Source organism: Homo sapiens, chromosome 16, assembly GCF_000001405.40.
Source record: "Homo sapiens chromosome 16, GRCh38.p14 Primary Assembly".
NCBI lineage: Eukaryota > Metazoa > Chordata > Mammalia > Primates > Hominidae > Homo > Homo sapiens.
The window spans coordinates 85,689,015-85,709,077 of record NC_000016.10 but is presented as its reverse complement, the minus strand read 5'-3'; the positions used below and the strand labels follow the sequence as shown (position 1 = coordinate 85,709,077).

The 20,063-nt window shown below is 52.3% G+C and overlaps 1 protein-coding gene and 1 long non-coding RNA gene across 5 annotated transcripts in view, besides 5 other annotated features; both read left to right on the top strand.

The window, feature by feature from the left end:
- The window catches only part of C16orf74 (chromosome 16 open reading frame 74), a 43,580-nt gene extending 42,019 nt beyond the window's left edge, over window positions 1-1,561 (top strand). For all 4 annotated transcript variants that reach the window (NR_161453.1, NR_161454.1, NR_161452.1 and 1 more), the window contains one exon: window positions 1,012-1,561. Coding sequence is in view for 1 of the 4 variants with exons in the window: in NM_206967.3 (NP_996850.1) it covers window positions 1,012-1,070 (59 nt within the window). In the remaining 3 variants the exon portion in view is untranslated. The remainder of the gene's footprint in view (window positions 1-1,011) is intronic.
- Window positions 3,171-3,863: an enhancer, noted in NCBI's record as "H3K27ac-H3K4me1 hESC enhancer chr16:85738821-85739513 (GRCh37/hg19 assembly coordinates)". NCBI's record gives its function as "activates a minimal SCP1, AML or CMV promoter by ChIP-STARR-seq in naive H9 embryonic stem cells {active_cell/tissue: H9 hESC(naive)}" and the evidence as "EXISTENCE:reporter gene assay evidence [ECO:0000049][PMID:30033119]".
- Window positions 7,110-7,325: a silencer, noted in NCBI's record as "fragment chr16:85735359-85735574 (GRCh37/hg19 assembly coordinates)". NCBI's record gives its function as "represses an EF-1alpha promoter that drives an FKBP-Casp9 reporter gene in an ReSE screen in phorbol 12-myristate 13-acetate-treated (for megakaryocytic differentiation) K562 erythroleukemia cells {active_cell/tissue: K562(+PMA)}" and the evidence as "EXISTENCE:reporter gene assay evidence [ECO:0000049][PMID:32094911]".
- Window positions 12,879-13,451: an enhancer, noted in NCBI's record as "H3K27ac-H3K4me1 hESC enhancer chr16:85729233-85729805 (GRCh37/hg19 assembly coordinates)". NCBI's record gives its function as "activates a minimal SCP1, AML or CMV promoter by ChIP-STARR-seq in primed H9 embryonic stem cells {active_cell/tissue: H9 hESC(primed)}" and the evidence as "EXISTENCE:reporter gene assay evidence [ECO:0000049][PMID:30033119]".
- On the top strand, window positions 15,917-19,735 carry LOC124903740 (uncharacterized). The gene is made up of 2 exons (XR_007065160.1): window positions 15,917-16,152; window positions 18,301-19,735. It is a non-coding gene; the product is annotated as an uncharacterized LOC124903740 (long non-coding RNA).
- Window positions 19,230-19,731: an enhancer, noted in NCBI's record as "H3K4me1 hESC enhancer chr16:85722953-85723454 (GRCh37/hg19 assembly coordinates)". NCBI's record gives its function as "activates a minimal SCP1, AML or CMV promoter by ChIP-STARR-seq in primed H9 embryonic stem cells {active_cell/tissue: H9 hESC(primed)}" and the evidence as "EXISTENCE:reporter gene assay evidence [ECO:0000049][PMID:30033119]".
- Window positions 19,809-20,018: a silencer, noted in NCBI's record as "silent region_7818". NCBI's record gives its function as "represses an Ori minimal core promoter by ATAC-STARR-seq in GM12878 lymphoblastoid cells {active_cell/tissue: GM12878}" and the evidence as "EXISTENCE:reporter gene assay evidence [ECO:0000049][PMID:35858748]".

Here is a 20,063-nt window from a genome sequence, read left to right as displayed (position 1 = left end):
CCCATTTTAGACAGGGGTAAACTAAGGTTGAGAGAGGCTGAGACACTTGCCATGTGCTAGTCACGGGTGCCGCAGGCATGCAGCCCCAGGCTGTGTGATCTGCACTTCACCCCGTGGCCCCCAGGCCGGATGTCCTCCCCGCAAGTGGCATCAGTTAGCTGACAGCCATCATGACATGGGTCTCGCTGGGCCCATGCAGGGGACAAGGCACCCATGAGGCTGGTGTAGTGTGCATGGAAGGCTGTCTGGGAGGGGGAATCCATAGACCCTTCCAGATGTCCTGAGCTTGGGTCTCCACTTGCCCAGCAGAGCGAGTGACTGGGAGAAAGCTGTCAGGCCCCTCTGGGTTGGGCCAGTGCAGGTGCTGGGTGGAGCCATGGTGGGTGCAATGGGGCGCATTCCTCTGTGACCTTTCCAAGTGCCTGGCACCAGGCTAAATGCTTTTCACAAATCTCATTTAATTCTCATTCCAACCCTTATCTCTAGTTTAGAAATGGGGAAACAAACAGGTCCAGAGAGGGACAGTGCCTCGCCCAGGGACACACAGCAAGGTGGGAGAAGAGCTGGGCTCCTGCTGCAGTGCGCCTCCTGCACCCCAGTACTGTCTAATCAGAGAGCCCAGTGTGGGCGGACAGAGGCGCAGGTCCTTAGCTCGGCTGTCAAAGTCTCTTCCCTCTCTGAGCCTGTGTCCTCACCTATAAAATGGGATCATACCACCTTCCCTGCTCCCAGGACCAGTGGGGGCATAGGGGAGACACAGGGTTACTCTACAAAGTCCGAGCCCCAGGGAGGTTCCTGAACGCTGGGAGGGGTTCCTCTTAAACTGAAGCAGTTCCGGGGTCCGATTCACCCAGAAGGATCCAGCATCACTGGGCTGGGTCCCATCTCAGCCTCTGGCAGCACCAGAAAGCAAGGAATCCCAGAGGCCCCAGCCCTGCAGTTCCCAGGGAAACGGGGCTTGGTGTGGTGGGGGCAGGGTGCATCCAGGTGTCCATCCCCTCTTTCTCCTAGTCTGGCTGGATGAGACAGGGTCGTGCCCAGATGATGGAGAAATCGACCCAGAAGCCTGAGGAGGTGTCCTGGGTTTGGCTGGCTGGCTCCTGCTCCAGCGGCCCGGCTTCAGGTGTCCGGGGGCGTGGCTGCCTGGAGCAGGTGTGCTGAATACCCTGGATGGGAACTGAGCGAACCCGGGCCTCCGCTCAGAGAGACGTGGCAGGACCAGCGAGGAATCCAGCCTGTCCACTTCCAGAACAGTGTTTCCCAGGCCCCGCTGAGTGGACCGGACCTCTGACACCTCCAGGTTCTTGCTGACTCCGGCCTGGTGAAAGGGAGCGCCATGGTCCTGGCTGTTGGGGTCCCAGGGAGAGGCTCTCTTCTGGACAAACACACCCTCCCAGCCCCCAGGGCTGTGCAAACACATGCCCCTGCCATAAGCACCAACAAGAACTTCTTGCAGGTGGAGTGGCTGTTTTTTATAAGTTGTTTTACAGATACGGAAACAGTCCAAAATGGGATTTATAATTTCTTTTTTGCATTATAAATAAAGATCCTCTGTAACAAATAGTGAATCCTTTTTTTTTTTTTTTGAGATGGAGTCTCACTCTTGTCTCCCAGGCTGGAGTGCAATGGCATGATCTCGGCTTGGCTCACTGTAGTGTTGCCTCCCAGGTTCAAGCAATTCTCCGGCCTCAGACTCCTGAGTAGCTGGGATTATAGGCATGAGTCACCGCACCCGGCTAATTTTTGTATTTTTAGTAGAGATGGGGTTTCACCATGTTGGTCAGGCTAGTCTCGAACTCCTGACCTCAAGTGATCTACCCGCCTCAGCCTCCCAAAGTGCTGGGATTACAGGTGTGAGCCACCATGCCTGGCCACAAATGGTGAATCCTGCTTCTTGGGTCAGGAGAAGGCGATGGATCATGCCAGGTAAAGCGTGGGTTTAAGAGAGACGCTTAAGATGGAAGAGCCAATCTGGTGTGTGCAGGCCATTGTGGGGGTCTCGAGCCCCTCCATTTTCAGTCTGCTGTCTAGGCTTCAGCGTGGCCCAGCCATGGGCTCTGCGGTCACGTGGACCTCGTTTGAGTCCCAGCTGTAGGATCCTGGTAATAATACATCTCTAAGGTGAGAGGCAACGTTGTGTTGGCTTTTTAAATTACATCACATCAGGGCCGGGCACAGTGGCTCACTCTTGTAATTCCAGCACTTTGGAGGCTGAGGCAGGAGGAGCTTGAGGCCAGGAGTTCAAGACCAGCCTGGCCAACACAGTGAGACCCTATCTCAATCAATCCAAATAAATACATAGCCAGTGTCCCTATCTTCCCATAGAGCACTCTGATACTGGTGTGGATGCACGTGTAGTGTGTATGCGTGTGTAGTGTGTACGTGCATGAGTGGGTGTGTGCATGTATGTGCAGGTGTGTGCATGTGTGGTATGTATGTGTGCATGTGGTGTGTGTGGTCATATGTGGATATGCCTATGTGTGTGTGTATGTGTGGTGTGTGTGTGTGGGTGTGTGTATGTGTGTGTGTGGTGTGTATTTTCTCTCTCTTTTTTTTTTTTCTTTGAGACAGAGTTTCGCTCTTGTTGCCCAGGCTGGAATGCAACGGTGCGATTTTGGCTCACTTCAACCTCCGCCTCCCGGGTTCAAGCGATTCTCCTGCTTCAGCCTCCCAAGTAGCTAGGATTACAGGCATGTGCCACCACACCCAGCTAATTTTGTATTTTTAGTAGAGACTGGGTTTCTCCATGTTGGTCAGGCTGGTCTCGAACTCCTGACCTCAGGTGATCTGCCTGCCTTGGCCTCCCAAAGTGCTGGGATTTCAGGCGTGAGCCACCGTGCTCAGCCTTTTTTTTTTTTTTTTTTTTTTTTTTTTTTCTTTTTTGAGACAGAGTTTAGCTCTTGTTGCCCAGGCTGGAATGCAATGGCGCGATCTTGGTTCACTGCAACCTCCACCTCCTGGACTCACGTGATTCTCCTGTCTCAGCCTCCCGAATAGCTGGGATTACAGGCATGCGCCACCACTCCCGGATAATTGTGTATTTTTAATAGAGACGGGGTTTGTCCATGTTGATCAGGCTGGTCTTGAACTCCTGACCTCAGGTGATCCTCCCACCTCGGCCTCCCAAAGTGCTGGGATTACAGGTGTGAGCCACCACGCCCGGCAGTGTGTGTTCATTTTCTGTGGTGTCTCTTGAGTTTGGTTTTCCTTGTGTCTCAGGATCCCTAGAGCAAAGCCTGAGCCAAGGCTTTGGGTGCGAGGGGTGGATTTGGAGGTGGCTCCAGGACACAAAGGTAGCGGAGTGGGGAAGGGCACTTCCAGGGTCCCCAAGACCACCCTCAGGTCTAATCATCCACCAGAAGAACGTCATGGTGATGGCTTATTATGGCAAGCAGATACAGGTTAAAATCAGCAGAGGGCAGGAGAATCCAGGAGAGGTCAGGCACAGGCTCCCAGCCGTCCTCTCACAACAGAGTTGGGGAGAGTGGGAAAGTGCTAACTTCTCTTGACCATGATGTGCGACAACATGCGCCAAGCATTGCCAACCAGGGACGCCCCGAACCTCAGTGTCGAGAGTCTTCGCTGGGGCTTGGCCACATGGGTGTGGCAGATACCACATGGCTGACCTTAGTCTCCAGCCCCTCCAAAGGTCAGCTGACACCAGGTAGCCTAAGGCCCCACCATAAATTCCATGATTAGCCTAGACGATCCTGTGTAGCCCAAGACCTCAGCAAACAAAGACAGTCTCATCAGGCAGGACACTGAAAGGGCTAGAGTTGAGGAGGGAAAGGCCAGGCCTGTCTCTGGGCATGGCTGATCCTTCACTGCACGAGAGGCCAGGCAGCGCAGGAAGGAGCTTATAAGGTGCCATGGGGCCTCTGGGGAGGCAGTGTGGATCCCTTCAGTGAGGGGTCCTTGAGGGGTTAGATGTGGGGTCTGCACCCTCCCACTCCCACTCATTGCTGGCCAAGAGCAGCTTCCAGAACCACCCAGGATTCCCAGCCTGTCCACCCACGGACAGCAGTGCTCGCAGAGGCCGTGTGGGCACACACCAGGCTCTGAGTCCCAGGGATACGGTGGGCCCCAAGGCCAGGGCCAGCTCTCTGGATTTGTCCTGCACACTGCCACAGGGCCCGTCTCAGAAGGCCCACGCTGGGTTCAACACTCTGCTGTCGCACCTTGAAATTCTCAATCAGGGTCCAGCATGATGGCCCATCCCTGTAATCCCAGGGCTTTGGGAGGCCAGGGTGGGTGGATCACTTGAGCGCAGAAGTTTGAGACCAGCCTGGGCAACATAGAGCCCCATTTCTACTAAGAATTTTTAAAAATTAGCCAGGTGCACACCTGTAGTCCCAGCTACTAGGGAGGCCAGGGTAGGAGGTTCACTTGAGCCCGGGATGTTGAGGCTATACTGAACTACAATGGTGCTGTTGCACTCCAGCCTGGGCCACAGAGTGAGATTCTATCTCAAAACAAAAAAGAAGGCTGGGCGCAGTGGCTCACGCCTGTAATCCCAGCACTTTAGGAGGCTGAGGCGGGCGGATCATGAGGTCGAGACCATCCTGGCTAACACAGTGAAACCCTGTCTCTACTAAAAATACAAGAAAAAATTAGCCAGCATGGTGGTGGGTACCTGTAGTCCCAGCTACTTGGGAGGCTGAGGCAGGAGAATGGAGTGAACCCGGGAGGCAAAGCTTGCAGTGAGCGGAGATCACACGCCACTGCACTCCAGCCTGGGGGACAGAGCGAGATTCCATCTCAAAAAAAAAAAAAAAAAAAAAAAAGGAAATTCTCAATCATGGCTGTGCAAGGGGCTCTGCAAATGTGATATGGCCAGTCCTGCTTCCAGCCCCCGTGAACATCTGTGTGCCGAGACGCAGCTGAAATGATGTGATGGCATTACACCCACTTGGGGGGTTCTGCCCGCTGTCCCCCTCAGCCCGTCCTCCTTAGAGTTTCACATGTTTTCTTTCTCATCCTTGGAGGAACCAGCCCACATCCTGGGAAATGGGAATAGCAGCCTGGCACTGGCGTCTAAGCTGCTAAGCCACTGCCGCATCTGCCCCCAGTGTGTTTGTTTGTTTGTTTTGAGATGGAGTCTCACTCTGTCGCCCAGGCTGGAGTGCAGTGGCACGATCTCAGCTCACCACAGCCTCTGCCTTCTGGGTTCAAGCGATTCTCGTGTCTCAGCCTCCCAAGTAGCTGGGTTACAGGTGTGCGCCCCCGCTCCCCACCACCATGCTCGGCTAATTTTTGTATTTTTAGTAGAGATGAAGTTTCACCATGTTGGCCAGGCTGGTTTTGAACTCCAGACCTCAAACTATCTGCCCGCCTCAGCCTCCGAAAGTGCTGGGATGACAGGCATGAGCTACAGCACGGCCTCCAGTTTTTAAACTTCTGTATTAAGGTATTACCTGGACAATTAAGTACAGCCAAACATCAACCTGTGGCTCAATCAGGTGTGTGTGCATGTCCACCATGAAACCACCTCCCTGAGCGAGACAGGACGTCGCTGGGACCCTGACCACGGGCTTCACTGGGACCTTGGAGAGGTCATTGCTGTCCTGGGTCCCTGACCATGGGTTCCTCTATCCTGTTCTCGCCCTTCATATACATGGACTCTTACTACAGTGGACTGCCTTGGCTGAGTAACTGTCTTAGTCTGTTCCTGCTGCTACAAAAATACCTTAGGCTGGGTGAAAACAGTAAAATGTATGGCAAACAGTAAAAACAGTCTTGGAGGTGAGAAGTCCAAGATCAAGGTGCCAGCACATTTGGAGTCTGGTGAGGGCCTGTTCTCTGCCTCAAAAGAGGGCACCTTCATACCATGTCCTTGCCTGGTGGAAGGGGCAAGGCAGCTCACTTTCCTCTCCATCCTCCTGACTTAATCACTCCCCCAAGACCTCACCTCTTAATTCTATCACACTGGGGTTGGGCACAGTAACTCACACCTGTAGACCCAGCACTTTGCGAGGCTGAGGCAGGAGGGTCACTTGACCTCAGGAGGTTGAGGCCAGCCTGGGCAACATAGTGAGACCCCCACCTCTACAAAAAAAAAATAAAAAAATCAGCTGGGCATTATGGCATGTCTGTGGTCCCAGCTACTCAGGAGGCTGAGGCAGGGGGATTGCTTGAGCCTGGGAGGTCGAGGCTGCAGTGAGCTGTGATTGTACCTCTGCACTCCAGCCTGGGTGATAGTGAGACCCTGTCTCAAGGAAAAAAAGAAAAGAGAAAAAAAAAATCCTATCACATAGGAGATTAGTTTCCAATATGTTAATTTAGGGAAGACGCCAACGTTCAGACTATAGCAGTAACATAAGTGGCTTGATTTAAAGGTGGTTTTAGGCCAGGCGTGGTGTCTCCTGCCTGTAATCCCAGCACTTTGGGAGGCCGAGGCAGGCAGATCACTTGATACCAGGAGTTTGAGAGCAGCCTGGCCAACATGGCGAAACCCCGTCTCTACTAAAAATACAAAAATTAGCAGGGCATGGTGGCACATGCCTGTAATCTCTAGCTGCCCGGGAGGCTGAGACACGAGAATCACTTGTACCCAAGAGGTGGAGGTTGCAGTGAGCCGAGATCACGCCACCGCACTCCAGCTGGGGTGACAGAGTGAGACTCGGTCAAAAAAAAAAAAAAAAAAGGGAAGGAGGGAGGAAGGGAGGAAGGAAGGGAAGGAAGGGAAGGAAAAGAAGGAAGGAAAGGGCATGCCTGCTGATGCTTGGTGCTTGCCTTCTCTTCTACTTCTGTCCTTCACTCTGCTGCCTGCTCAATCTCTGAGCCCTCCACTGCCTGCTTAGCAGCCTCCAAAAACTCTCCACACTCCCTAAGAGGCCAAAGGCTCAGCCTTGCTCAGCCTCCACTCCAATCAAGCTGAACTCCTTGATTTTCCTTGTGTGCATGCCTCTCGTTCTGGTTACCATTGCTGCATAACAAATATTTAGTGTGAAGCAACAACAATCATCTATTTTGCCCACAAATCTGCAATTTGGACAGGGCCTGAAGAGAGAGTTTGTCTGTTTCATGAGACATCAGCTGAGACATGTATGTCATCTGGGGCTAGAAGATCCACTTCCAAGATGGCACACCCACAAGGGCAAGCACCTACCACGTGGCTGCCAAGTTGGTTCTGGGCTCTTGTTTTTCTCCACGAGAACCTCTCCCTGGGCGGCTTGGGCTTCCTCACAGCATGGCAGCTGACATCCAAGCAAGAGCATCTCCAGAAAACCAGGTGGAAGCTGTATCGCCTGTGATGACCTAGTCTCTGAAGTCACATCACATCACTTCTGCGGTCCTCACGTGCCTTCCTAGATGAAAAAGGAGGGAACATAGGCACCACCTCGTGACGGGAACAAAGTCAAAGGCGTAAGTAGAGCACCGGCTGAGTGCAGTGGCTTCTGCCTATAATCCCAGTGCTTTGGGAAGCCCAGGGAGGAGGATCACTCTAGGCCAGGAGTTCAAGACCAGCCTGGGCAATGTAGTGAGATGCTGTCGGTACAAAAATAAAAAATAAAAATAAACTGGGTGTGGTAGTGTAGACCCACCAGTTGGAGGCTGTAGTGACCTGTGATCACACCGCTGCGCTCCAGCCTGAGTGACAGAGCATTAAGACCCTGTCTCTAAAAAAAGAGGAGGAGGAGGAGAGAGGAGGAGGAGGAGGAGGAGAAGGAAGAAGAAGGAAAAAGATGAAGGAGAAGGAGGAAGAAGAAAGAGAAGAAGAAGAAAGAAGAAGAAAATGTGGATGGGAGATGTTGTGGCCCCACTTGGAAACTACAACCTGCCACCCGGTTCAGGCATTTCTTCTCCCTGGAACGCCTTTGCTCCCAACCCCAGTCTCTCTGCAAGGTCCAGTTTCATGGAAGCCTGGTGCCCCTCTGTGCCAGGTCCTGCCAGCAGAAAGCCTTGCTGTCCTCCAGCTCCCACAGCACGTGTTCCCTCCCTCCCCTGTGAGCGGGGTGCCCTTCTGTTGTTTCGCAGTCACTGATGTGCAGGACATCACAGGAAGAGGTGCCTTGTCACTGGGGCTCACAGCCTAAAGCTGATCAACTCACCAACACCCCGGGAACCCCTGCCACTGTCTCTAATAAATACATTTCCTAAAGGTAGTGACTTAGTCTCACACATCGGTATACTCCCAGCACCTCTGTCATAGGCACTACCATATTTATTTCGTTTTTGTTTTTTTGTTTTGTGGTGTTTGTTTGTTTGAGACGGAGCCACATTCCCTGCTGCCCAGGCTAGAGTGCAATGGCGCCATCTCGGCTCACTGCAACCTCCGCCTTCCAGGTTCAAGCTATTCTCATGCCTCAGCCTCCCAAGTAGCTGGGATTACAGGCCCCCAGCACCGCGCCCGGCTAATTTTTTTTTTTTTTTTTTTTTTGAGACGGACTCTCACTCTGTCGCCCAGGCTGGAGTGCAGTCGCGCAATCTCAGCTCACTGCAAGCTCTGCCTCCCGGGTTCACGCCATTCTCCTGCCTCAGCCTCCTGAGTAACTGGGACTACAGGCGCCCGCCACTATGCCCGGCTAATTTTTTGTATTTTTAGTAGAGATGGGGTTTCACCGCGTTAGCCAGGATGGTCTCGATCTCCTGACCTCTTGATCGGCCTGCCTCGGCCTCCCAAAGTGCTGGGATTACAGGCGTGAGCCACCGCGCCCAGCCTAATTTTTGTATTTTAAGTAGAGATGGGTTTTTGCCATGTTGGTCAGGTTGGTCTCGAACCCCCGACCTCAGGTGATCCGCCCACCTCAGCCTCCCAAAGTGCTGGGATTACGGCTGTGAGCCACCGCACCTGGCCTTGTTTTGTTTTTTAGAGACAGGGTCTTGCTCTGTCACCCAGGCTGAAGTGAATAGTATGATCGAACTCTGGGGCTCAAGCAATTATCATGCCTCAGCTCTGGGATTACAGGTGTGCACCACTGTGCCCGGCCCTTATTTAGCATTCATATCGCCTGCTATGTACCAGGCACTGTACTTAACACTTGACAGATATTTTAACTCACATAATTCTCATGGAAACCCTGAGAGATAGCGTCTTAGTCAGTTTTCTTTTTGCTGTGATGTTGCTATGTAACAACCCCTGTCCCCCGCCCCCAAACTCAGTGGCTTACAACAGCGAGCACTGATTCCTCACTCACGGGTCTGTGGGTTGGCCGTGGCCTTGCCGATTGGCTGCAAGGAGCTGGGCTTTATCAGCTGCAGTTGAACTCCGATTTCCTTCAAGTGTCCTCTCTTTTAGGAACCAACCAGAGTATGTTCACTCACTCAGTGGGTGGCAGAGGCACAGAGCACAGGCAGAGCCAATGCATTTGCAGCTTCTGCTTGTGACACATGCCCACATTCCCTCAGCCAAGCAAGTCACATGGCTAAGCCCAACACTGTGAGCCGGGAAGTTGCATGCCACAAGGAGGGGGCAGACAATTCTTCTAAAGAGAGGGAAAGGTGAGTCAGAAACAATAACCTAATCTCCCGCAGGTCGGTGCTCTTATTACCCGCATTTTACAGATGGGGGACTGGAGGCACCTAGAGGTTAAATCATTTGCCCAAGGTCATCCGAGGTAAGTAAGTGGCAGAGGTGGGATTCAAACTCAGAGCCTGTGGTCTTACCACCCAAGGAATCTGCTTCTCTTGTGCTTGTTGATTGGCCAGGCAAATCGTCGCCCCCTTCCTTCTGGCTTCTCAGAGCCCCTTCTGTCCACCTAGAAGCCAGGCTGGACCCTCTGCCCTCCTCTTGAATCCAGGGGGCGCTGGGTGTCAGGGTTGCAGGAAACCTCACGCCTCCCTGAATACTCCTCAGCGGTCTGCCGTGGCTGGTCACCGGCTTCCCCTAGGGATTCTAGGGCCCACAGCAACCTGGCTGAGGACTCTGAGCTGGGGACACAGGTGGGAGGGCCAGCTAGAGGCTGCAAGGCCCCAGGACTCTGGGTGTGGCTTTCTCTCAGGGGCCTGGGCTGAGTTCCCTTATCTCCTAAAGGAACTGGGGCCCAAGGCATGCGTAGCAATCCCCAGCTTTGGGCCTGGTGTGGCCAGAGGCCTCAGTGAGGTCAGCATTTGGGAGGTGTTACCCCACGATGATGTCTGCTGAGTAAGGGCAGAGAGACCCTTCCTGGTGACAGCTGCCCCCACGCTGCCGTCAACCCTGTAGCATACCCACTGCCCAGCTCCTCTGCCTCTCATATGCTTCCCATAAGCTCTGCCACCCCTAGGAAGGGAGGGGCTCAGCGGAGGGGGGCCTGCTCCGCACCAGCTCTCACACAGGAAAGCATGGGAGCTGGGGGAAGGGCACCCACTGCAGCCCTGGCACCGGGGAATGGGTAAGAGCGAGGGCTTTGGTGTCAGCCAGCTCCCCGTTGTGCTGTGTGATCCTAGAAAGTCACTCAACCTCTCTGAGCCTTTTCTTCACCTATAAAGTGGGGATAGTAACTACCTACCTTATGGAAGCATATGAGGATTGTGTGAAATCATCCATGTAGCCCTTCCACCGCCACGTGGAGTTTGGCATGGAGCAGTTTCTAAATGGAAGTCATCTTGATCAGGTGGGCTGCCAACCTCTCTGAGCCTCAGTTTGCTCTTCTAGGGAATGGGGACAATGCAATGGGAATCTGAGGATTGTGTGAAATTGTGCAAATGCATGAATGTGGGCTGGGATAGTAAAAGGGAGGGCCCCGGAGCAGCCCACCTGGGGTCCTATCTAGTGGACGCGCCCGGTGCCCACCCATTGCTGTGATGCCAGCAGCCCACTGCAAGCATCCTCTTCCTTTCCAAGGTTCTCTCTGGTACATGAATAGGTGTGGCAGGGGTGGGGGCTCCTGAAGACCAACTAGGGGTACTAGGGACCTTAGACTCTTGCGAGAGCCTGCACCCCATATCAGGTGGGGTCAATAGATAAATACCCCTGCCTCCTTGCCCCTTAGTTCTGGTGTGGTGGGCAAGTCAGAGGAACTGTTCTTCTCACACTTTCACGTGCTCTCGGTGGAGATCTGGTTCAAAGGCAGAGGTCTGGGCTGGGGTCTGTGATTGTGCATCTCCAACCAGCTCCTGGGGGATTGGCTCTTGCCGATGGTCCACGGGCCACACTGAGGAGCGAGGCGTCATAGCTGCCCAGAGGTTCCCGGTGGAACTGAGCCCTGGTTGCCGGCCATAGAAACCTTCTCGCTAACCTGAACCAGCTCCTTCTCAAGTTCCCGGTCTCAACCTCCCTTCCTGGGACTGCATTCCGAATAAACCACTTCCACTTGGATCCTGTTTGGGGATCCAACCTCAGGTGACGCTCCCGCACTCCACCTATCAGCCGATGGCCTCGAGCAAGTCACTTGGCCTCTCTGAGCCTCAGTTTCCTTAATCTTCAAATGGAGATGGTAACCAGGATGTGCAGAAGATGGCATGAATGAACACGCGCAAGGAACCGGAAATGCTAGCACCAGCGCCGATGTTTGCCCAGCTGTGCTGTAGAAAAGCAAGGCTGATCCGCGTTGCCACAGGGTTGCTGCAGTGTTGGGCTCTCAGTGAACCGGACGCTTCATCAAAGGCTGGGGTTGCTCTGTGGGTGGGGGTGGGTGCCTCTTTGGAGCAAATCCAGAGTGAGGATTTATGTTGAACCCAAAACGTCACTCCCCTATTCTTATTTTTTGTCTGTTCTTCTTTAAGTACGTCCTGGGGGAATGGTTCCTAATGTCTGCAGTTTATTTTTCATTTATTTTTAATGCCAAAGCCAAGCATACTGATTAAAACCAACGATAAAAAAGCTTCGTGAATGGCTCCCCCAAAGTGTGTGTTGGGGGAACATGGGGCCACAGTAAATGGCAAATGAAGAGGAAATAGATGGAAATTAACAGCACCGGCTGCCGGCAAAGCCCCTTAACCCTAACCCTGGTGTGTCAGGGGAAAGTTCCCAGGTTCCAAGAGGCGAGGGAACGTTCTGGTCTTGAAACTTGGGATTCATGTTGTATTCCTCCAGGAAGGGAGGTTGGGAGGGAGAAAAGTGTGAAAACAGATGGAAATGTAATTTTTTAATGACAGCAGCAGATGGCAAAAAGACACAAGAGTGTATTCACACCATGTCGGAGCCATTTGAGAACGCCTGGCCCAGCCGTAATGTGCGCGGCGGGGCTGTCATGATGGCTCCCCGGCCAAACCCAGGAGCCGGCGCGCTGCAGGCAGGAACATGCCGGTCCCCCAAGGAGGCGTGGGACACGCTGCCAGGCTGTGCAGAGCTACAGGTAGATGGGGAAATACCTGTGGCCACCTGGGTTGGATCTGGAAGCTTCCCTGTGCCTGGCTCTTCCGGACAGAGTGTAGATGGTCCGTGGGCTTTAGATTCAGACAGACCCCACTCTTGGTGCCTTGGCTGCTCGGCTCACCTGCCTCCAGGTGAGTCTCCTGCTGCTATACTGCATCCTACCCTCGACTTCATGCACCCTAAATTCTCTTCTAAAGTGTATATCTAGGCTGGTCATGGTGGTGCACCTGTAATCCCATTGTTTTAGGAGGCTGAGGCAGGAGGACGGGCTGAGCCCAGGAGTTCAAGGTTGCATGAGCTATTATGCCACTGCATTCCAGCCTGGGGAACGGAGAAAGACCTGGTCTCTAAAATAAAATAGGCTAGGTGTGGTGGCTCACACCTATAATCCCAGCACTTTGGGAGGCTGAGGATTCCTTGAGCCCAGGAGTTTGAGACCAGCCTGGGGAACAAAATGAGACCTTGTCTCTACAAAAAAAATCAAAAAATTGGCTGGGTATGGTGGTACATGCCTGTGGTCTCAGCTACACAGAAGGCTGAGGCAGGAGGATCACTTGAGCCCAAGAGGTCAAGGCTGCAGTGAGCTGTGATTGCACCACTACACTCCAGCCTGGGTGGCAGAGTGAAACCTGTCTCAAAAGTATTAATCAAATAAATAAAATGCAGCTCTATCATGTCACCCCAGGGTCTCCTATAATGAGATGGCTTGCCTTAAAGGGCTTCTCATTGCCTTCAGGATCAAGTCCAAGTTCTTCAAAGTAGCTCGCAAGGGCAGGCCCCTTCAGGCTGGCCCCCACCCATCTTTCTGGCTTCACCACTGGCCCCTGCCCTGGTGGGATGCTGCACTCAGCGGGAGAGGAACGCCTGGCAGGACTGTTGAGAGACAAGCCCTGCTGCTGCCTAGAGGACACGCCACTGTCTATTGAGCAAGGCTGCGCCAGACACCACTGAGGACTTTACCTGCGTCAGTCCCTTTAAGCCTTGCAACAGCTCCAGGAAAAGGTGATGTTCAAAATAAGCCACAGGTGAAGTGGTAGAGGGCCCAGTCCATCAGACCCACTGCTGCTAGCCAGAAACACTGGGCCATGGGCACCTGGTGGAATCGGCCCTGCAGGAGGTCACGTGGTTGCCCCCTCGCAGACCGAGGTGGACTGCATGCCCAAGTCTCTCAGCAGGAGCCGCAGGGGTGGGAGGCCCCGCGTGGGAAGTCCTCCTTTCCTATTCTCAGGGCCCTGTTCTGTGCCATATCCCTGGCTTGTTTCAGAGGAGGCAGAGCAGGAAGAGTTACCCCCGAAGAGGTGATTTCCATTCTGTGTGTCTTTTTGGCTGTGTCGCTGTGTTTCTAGCCCCTCCTCAGCTCAGCGATGACACCGCCAGCTGCTAGCTACTGCTTTCCCCTAAGCTCCCCACAGGAGACCCCAGGAGACAGGCTGGGCTCACTTTATGCCACAGTGGTGGCGCCTAACCTTGGCCGAGGAGTCTGGAAAATTCTGTTGCCCTGGCCCTGCCCCTAGAGGTGCCGATTTCTTTGGTCCAGGAGGAGGCCTGGTCGTGGGGCCGGTGGTTCTACTGCAGATGGGGCTGGGAGTTTGAGGAGACTCTCCCCCATCTCCTCGTGTCTTCACTGTAACTCGTTATTTTCCTAGGCTGCTGGTCTCCTCACTGTAAGAGGGTGAATTAAGGGTTGAATTAACATCCTCTGTGCAGGTGGCCCACAGGTGCTCAGCCCCACAATGACCTGTGCAGGTGCATCGGGGGGCAGGCCTCGCCCCAAGTGCTGCCAGCCCAAAAGTCAGACACATGCTTGAGTGGCCCACAGAGGACCCAGTCCCCTTGCAGGCACTCAGTCTCAGGGGCCACCTTGCAAGCACTGTTTCCCACATGCTGGGTAACACATCCCATCGTTGCTGAAAGATGACTGCTTTAAAATAGCACGACCAAGTCTCATTTTTGGAGGACCATTTGGCCTGTCTACATTCTAATGTCACCAAAAGATACTCTAGGGCTGATTATCCTGAAATAGGTTCACAGCTTCACGGTGTTATAGTTTTAAGGCTGGGTGTGGTGGCTCCTGCCTGTAATCCCAGCATTTTGGGAGCCCAAGGTGGGAGGATCGCTTGAAGTCAGGAGTTCAAGACCAGCCTGGACAACATAGTGAGACCCCCATCTCTACACAAAATACAAAAATTAGCCTGGTGTCGCGATGCATGCCTGTAGTCCCAGCTACTCAGGAGGCCAAGGGAGGAGAATCACTCGAGCCCAGGAGACTGAGGCTGCAATGAGCTAGAATCACACCACTGCGCCCCAGTCTGGGTGACAGAGCGAGACTCCATCTCAAAAAGCAAAACCAAAAAAGAAACAATAACAAAAAAAACCACCCACAATAAATAAAATAAAATAGTTTATTTATATTATATATATATATATATTTTTTTTTTTTTGAGATGGAGTCTTGCTCTGTCTCCCAGGCCTGAATGCAGTGGTGCGATCTTGGCTCTCTGCAACCTCCTCCTCCCAGGTTCAAGTGATTTTCCTGCCTCAGCCTCCTAAGTAAGTGGGATTACAGGTGCCGGCCATTATGCCCAGCTAATTTTGTATTTTTAGTAGAGACGGGGTTTCACCATGTTGGCCAGGCTGGTCTCCAACTCCTGACCTCAAGTGATCCACCCGCCTCAGCCTTCCAAAGTGCTGGGATTACAGGCATGAGCCACCGCACCCAGCCACTCCCATGTTTATTGCAGCACTATTCACAATAGTCAAGATATGAAATCAACCTAAATGACCATCAACGGATGAATGGATTAAAAATGGGGTACAGGCTGGGCATGGTGGCTCACACCTGTAATCCCGGCACTTTGGGAGGCCGAGACAGGTAGATCACCTGAGGTCAGGAGTTTGAGACTAGCCTGGTTGACATGGTGAAACCCGTCTCTACTAAAAATACAAAAAAAAAAAAAAAACTAGCCAGGCGTGGTGGCACACGCCTATAATCCCAGCTACTTGGGAGGCTGAGGCAGGAGAATCACTTGAAGCAGGGAAGTGGAGGTTGCAGTGAACCGAGATCACACCATTGCACTCCAGCCTGGGCAACAAGAGCGAAACTCTGTCTCAAAAAAAAAGGTAGGTATATATACACCATGGAATACTGTTCAGGCTTAAAAAAGGAGGAAATTCTGTAATTTGTGACAACATGGGTGAACCTAGAGGACAGTAGGCATACTGAAATAAGCCAGGCACAGAAAGACAAATAACACTGCATGATCTCATTTATATGTGGAATCTAAAAAAGCTGAACTCATAGAAGTAGATAGTAGCAGGGGAAGGAAGGGGAAGTGGGGAATAGGGAGATGGGGGTCAAAGGGTACAAAGTCTCAGTTAGACAGGAGATCTGGCCGGGCACGATGGCTCATGACTGTAGTCCCAGCACTTTCGGAGGCCCAGGTGAGAGGATCACTTGAGCCCAGGAATTTGAGGCCAGTCTAGGCAACATAGTGAAACCTCATCTCTACTAAAAAAAAAAAAAAATTGGCCAGGCATGGTGGTGCAGAATTGTAGTCCCAGCTACTCAGGAGGCTGAAGCAGGAGGATCACTTGAGCCTGGGAGGTCAAGACTACAGTGGGCCGTGATCATGCCACTGCACTCCAGCCCTCCAGACTGGGCAACAGTGAGATCCTGTCTCAAAAAAAAAAAAAGAAAAAAAGAAAAAAGACGGGAGATGTATTGCAAATCATGGTTACTACAGTTAATAGTCATGTATTGTCTATTCAAAATAGCTAAAAGAGTATATTTTAAATATTCTTACTACAGAAAAATAAAAATAAGGATTTAAGTTGATGGATACGTTAATTCACCTGATTTGACCGTTCCACAATGTATACCTGTGTCAAAACATCACTGTACCCAGTAAATACATGTAAGTATTGTAAATTAAAATAAAACATAAAATGCAAAACAAAATACTTCTGTGTGCATCCCCTGGCACCTGCATTAAGCTAAACTTGAGTTCATACTGACGTCTCCAACCGTAATTCATCTCCAGATGAATCATTCCAGCTTTCTAGGGGAGGCGTTTTACAGAACAGAAAATGATGCTGGAAGGTCCAGCACCCCCACCTCCACCACTGCCCTCTTCCCCTCCCCTTTGGTTTCCTTCTGTCTGTTGACTCTGGTTCCCCCACCCTGAGGCCAGGTGGGAGGATTGGCCTTCACCTGGGTGCTGGGAGTGGCTCAGAGCTGGACCAGATTGGGGCAAATCACTTCACCGGTATTCTCAATCATAAAAACCTCTTGGGAGCTTCTTGAGTGTGCTGTATACCTGGGCCTACCCCATACTTGTCAATCAGAAAGTCTGAGCCTGGGGCTTAGAGAGGGGCATTTTTCAAAACAGCTTTATAGGTTGGGCGTGGTGGTTCATGCCTCTAATCCCAGCACTTTGGGAGGCCAAGGTGGGTGGATTGCTGGAGCCCAAGGGTTGTTTGAGACCAGCCTGGGCAACATGGCAAAAACCTGTCTCTACCAAAAACAAAAAATACAAAAATTAGCTGGGTGGGGTGGCACACCTGTAGTCCCAGCTACTTGGGAGGATGAGGTGGGAGGATCATTTGAGCCTAGGAGGCAGAGGCTGCAGTGAGCTGAGATTATACCACTGCATTCTAGTCTGGGTGACAGACCCTGTCTCAAAAATTAACAAACAAACAAACAAATAAAATGGCTTTATTGAGGCATAATTCACATACTGTAAAATTCCCCCTTTTAAAGTGTACAATTCAGTGGTTTTTAGTATATTTACAGATTTGTGCAATCATCACCGCTATCTAATTCCAGAATATTTCTGTCACCCCAGAAAGAAACCTTGTACCCCCTAACTCCTCATTCCCCCTCCTCCAGTCCCTGGCAACCACTAATTCACTTTCTGTTTCTATGGATCTACCTATTTTGGACATTTCATGGAAATGGAACCATATAATATGTGGACTTTTGTGTCTGGCTTATTTCACTTAGCATAACTTTTTTTTTGTTTGAGACTGAGTCTCGCTCTGTCATCCAAGCTGGAGTACAGTGGTGCAATCATGGTTCACTGCAGCCTCCACCTCCCGGGCTGAAGCAATCCTTTCACCTCAGCCTCCTTAGTAGCTGGGACTACAGGTGTGTGTCTGTGTCACTGTGCTGGGCTAATTTTTTTTTTTTTTTTTTTTTTTTTTGAGACAGAGTCTTGCTCTGTCACCCAGGCTGGAGTGCAGTGGCACAATCTCGGCTCACTGAAACCTCTACCTCCCAGGTTCAGGTGATTCTCCTGCCTCAGCCTCCCGAGTAGCTAGGACTACAGGTGTGTGCCACCACACCTGGCTAATTTTTGCATTTTTAGTAGAGGCAGGGTTTCACCATATTGGCCAGGCTGGTCTTGAACTCCTGACCTCGTGATCCTCCCGCCTCGGCCTTCCAAAGTGCTGGGATTACAAGCGTGAGCCACCGTGCCACCCCCCACTCCTTTTTTGTTTTTTTAATGTAGAGATGGTCTCTCACTATGTTGCCTAGGCTGGTTTCGAACTCCTGGGCTCAAGTGATCCTCCCACCTCAGCCTCCCAAAGTGCTGGGATTACTGGTGTGAGCCGCCACTGGCATCACGGTTTTGAGGTTCATCCACGTTGTAGTGTGTACCAGGACTTCATTATGATTTGTAGCCAAATACTACTCCATCGTATGAATAGGCACCATTTTGTTTGTCCAGACGTCAGTTGGTGGCCACTGGGCTGTTTCCACATTTTGACTATTATGAATCGTGCTGCCATGAAGGGGAAGACACAAGCCTACCAAGTGATTCTCACACACTCAGGCTTGAGGCATCAGGACACCACCCTTCTGCAATCTGTAAAGCTGCACACTTTCCCATCCTGTTCTTTCCAAAGCCCAGTGAGGCTAACAGCAGCCCTGTCCCCATTTTACAGATAAGGATGCCGAGGCTCTGTGATGTGGACAGCCAGGCTCTGGTAGCCCTCCTACCCATCCCTCAGCAGCCTCTCTGAACCTCAGCTTTCTCATCTTTTCCTTTGCTCTTTTATAGGCTGGACAAATCAGGACGCAAACCCTCGTCAGCTTTGGAACACAAATATTTGCCAGTGAAGAAAACATTCCCTCATCAGTCAAAACCCGGACAGTCTGGCACACACGTCTGCAGCTGCCTGAGGGAGCTTCTACTGTGGGAGGGGCCAGATGGCCCACAGCTCCCCCTCCTCCCTGAACACTGCAGGCTCCTTCTCTTCCTACTTCATTTTGAAGATAAAGAGACAGGGGTTCAGAGTTGTCACTTGCCCTTGGTCACATAGCATCCAGAGTGACCTTTGATTTCTTCTCTTCGAGCATATCTGTCTTTTCTCTTTTGTTTTTATTTTTTTTTAATAGAGATGGGGTCTTGGCATGTTGCCTAGGCTGATCTCAAACTCCTGGCCTCAAGTGATCCTTCTGCCTCGGCCTCCCAAAGTGCTGGGATTACAGGCGTGCCTGGCCAAGAGTATGTGTCTTCACACATGAAAGTAACTCAGCGAAAACTCCAGATCTGTAAATAACAACTTCTAAGGCAGATACACAACAGACACAGCTTTGTGAGCAGGCCTGTGAGCTTTACGGCTTTTTTTCACCTTCCCAGTGACCCTCTATGGGGCTTCAGGGAGGTTGGAGAGGAGAGCATCCGGTTAGCTGGGGCGGGGGCAGGGGGTGCTTTCTGCTGGAATTCCAAACCCTGGAATCCTCATGTCTCCTGTGATTTTTCTCGCGGGCCTAATTATCAAGGTTTCAAATTCGACTGCAGTCCTAGAATAGCGCTTCACCCCCAGGAAGCTTTTCCGGCCATGACCACCCCATCAAAATCACCTGGCCCTGGATGAAATTCAGCTTTCTGTCCTTTCCACGACTCCGGAATCCCAACTCCCAGGAGCGTGCACACAGACAATGGGCACCCGCTAGGGGATTCTGACACAGGTGAGCTCCAGCCACCGCTCTGGCTTCACCTGCGCCCACTGTACAGGGGCAGCCGGTCCAGCGAGCAGGTGAGTATTTGCTCAGGTGGTGCAAACCTGCCGCTCCTGTCTCATGTGGGGCTCCTGCCGAAGTGCAAATTCTGAGCTCCTGCTCTGAAGTGTCCGAATTGGAAGCTGTGGGGTGGGATGGAGGAATCTGCATTTTTACAGCTGTTTTAAACAATGTGTGCAGAGAGGGCAGAAGATTGTGAAATTAATGGAAACAAGGTCTTCCCTCATCCCTCTATCTGTCAGCCCGGGTGATGCCTAGTCCCGGGCCCGGTGCTGAGTTTGGGCCAATAAATGCTTGTACTCTTGGCCTGGCACGATGGCTCCCACCTGTAATCCCAGCACTTTGGGAAGTCGAGATGGGAGGATCGCTGGAGACCGGAAGTTCAAGACCAGCCTGAGCAACACAGCAAGATCCCAAATCCACGAAAAGTTGTTTAAAAATTAAAATAAAATAAATGCGTTTACTCTTGGCCCCATGCGGAACGCCGGCGTAGAAGCGGCCCGGAACCCCACCCCCGGCTCTTGATTAGGGCCGTTTGCGGCGGGCGCCGGGGACAGGTGAAGGGACACCAAAGCTGGCGCCCGCGGCAGGAGATCCTGACAGCGCCAGGTGCACGCCCACGGGCGGGGCGGGGCCGGGGTGGGGGCGGGGCCTGTCCGCGGGCCGGGGCGGGGCCGGCGCGCAGCCTCCCTCGGCCTTGCCAATCCGCGGGCTCTTCGCGAGCGCGGTCTCCGCCCCCCCGCCCGCAGACAGCGCCTATAGGCTGTCTACCGCCTTCCTATAGGCTGGCGCAGGCCG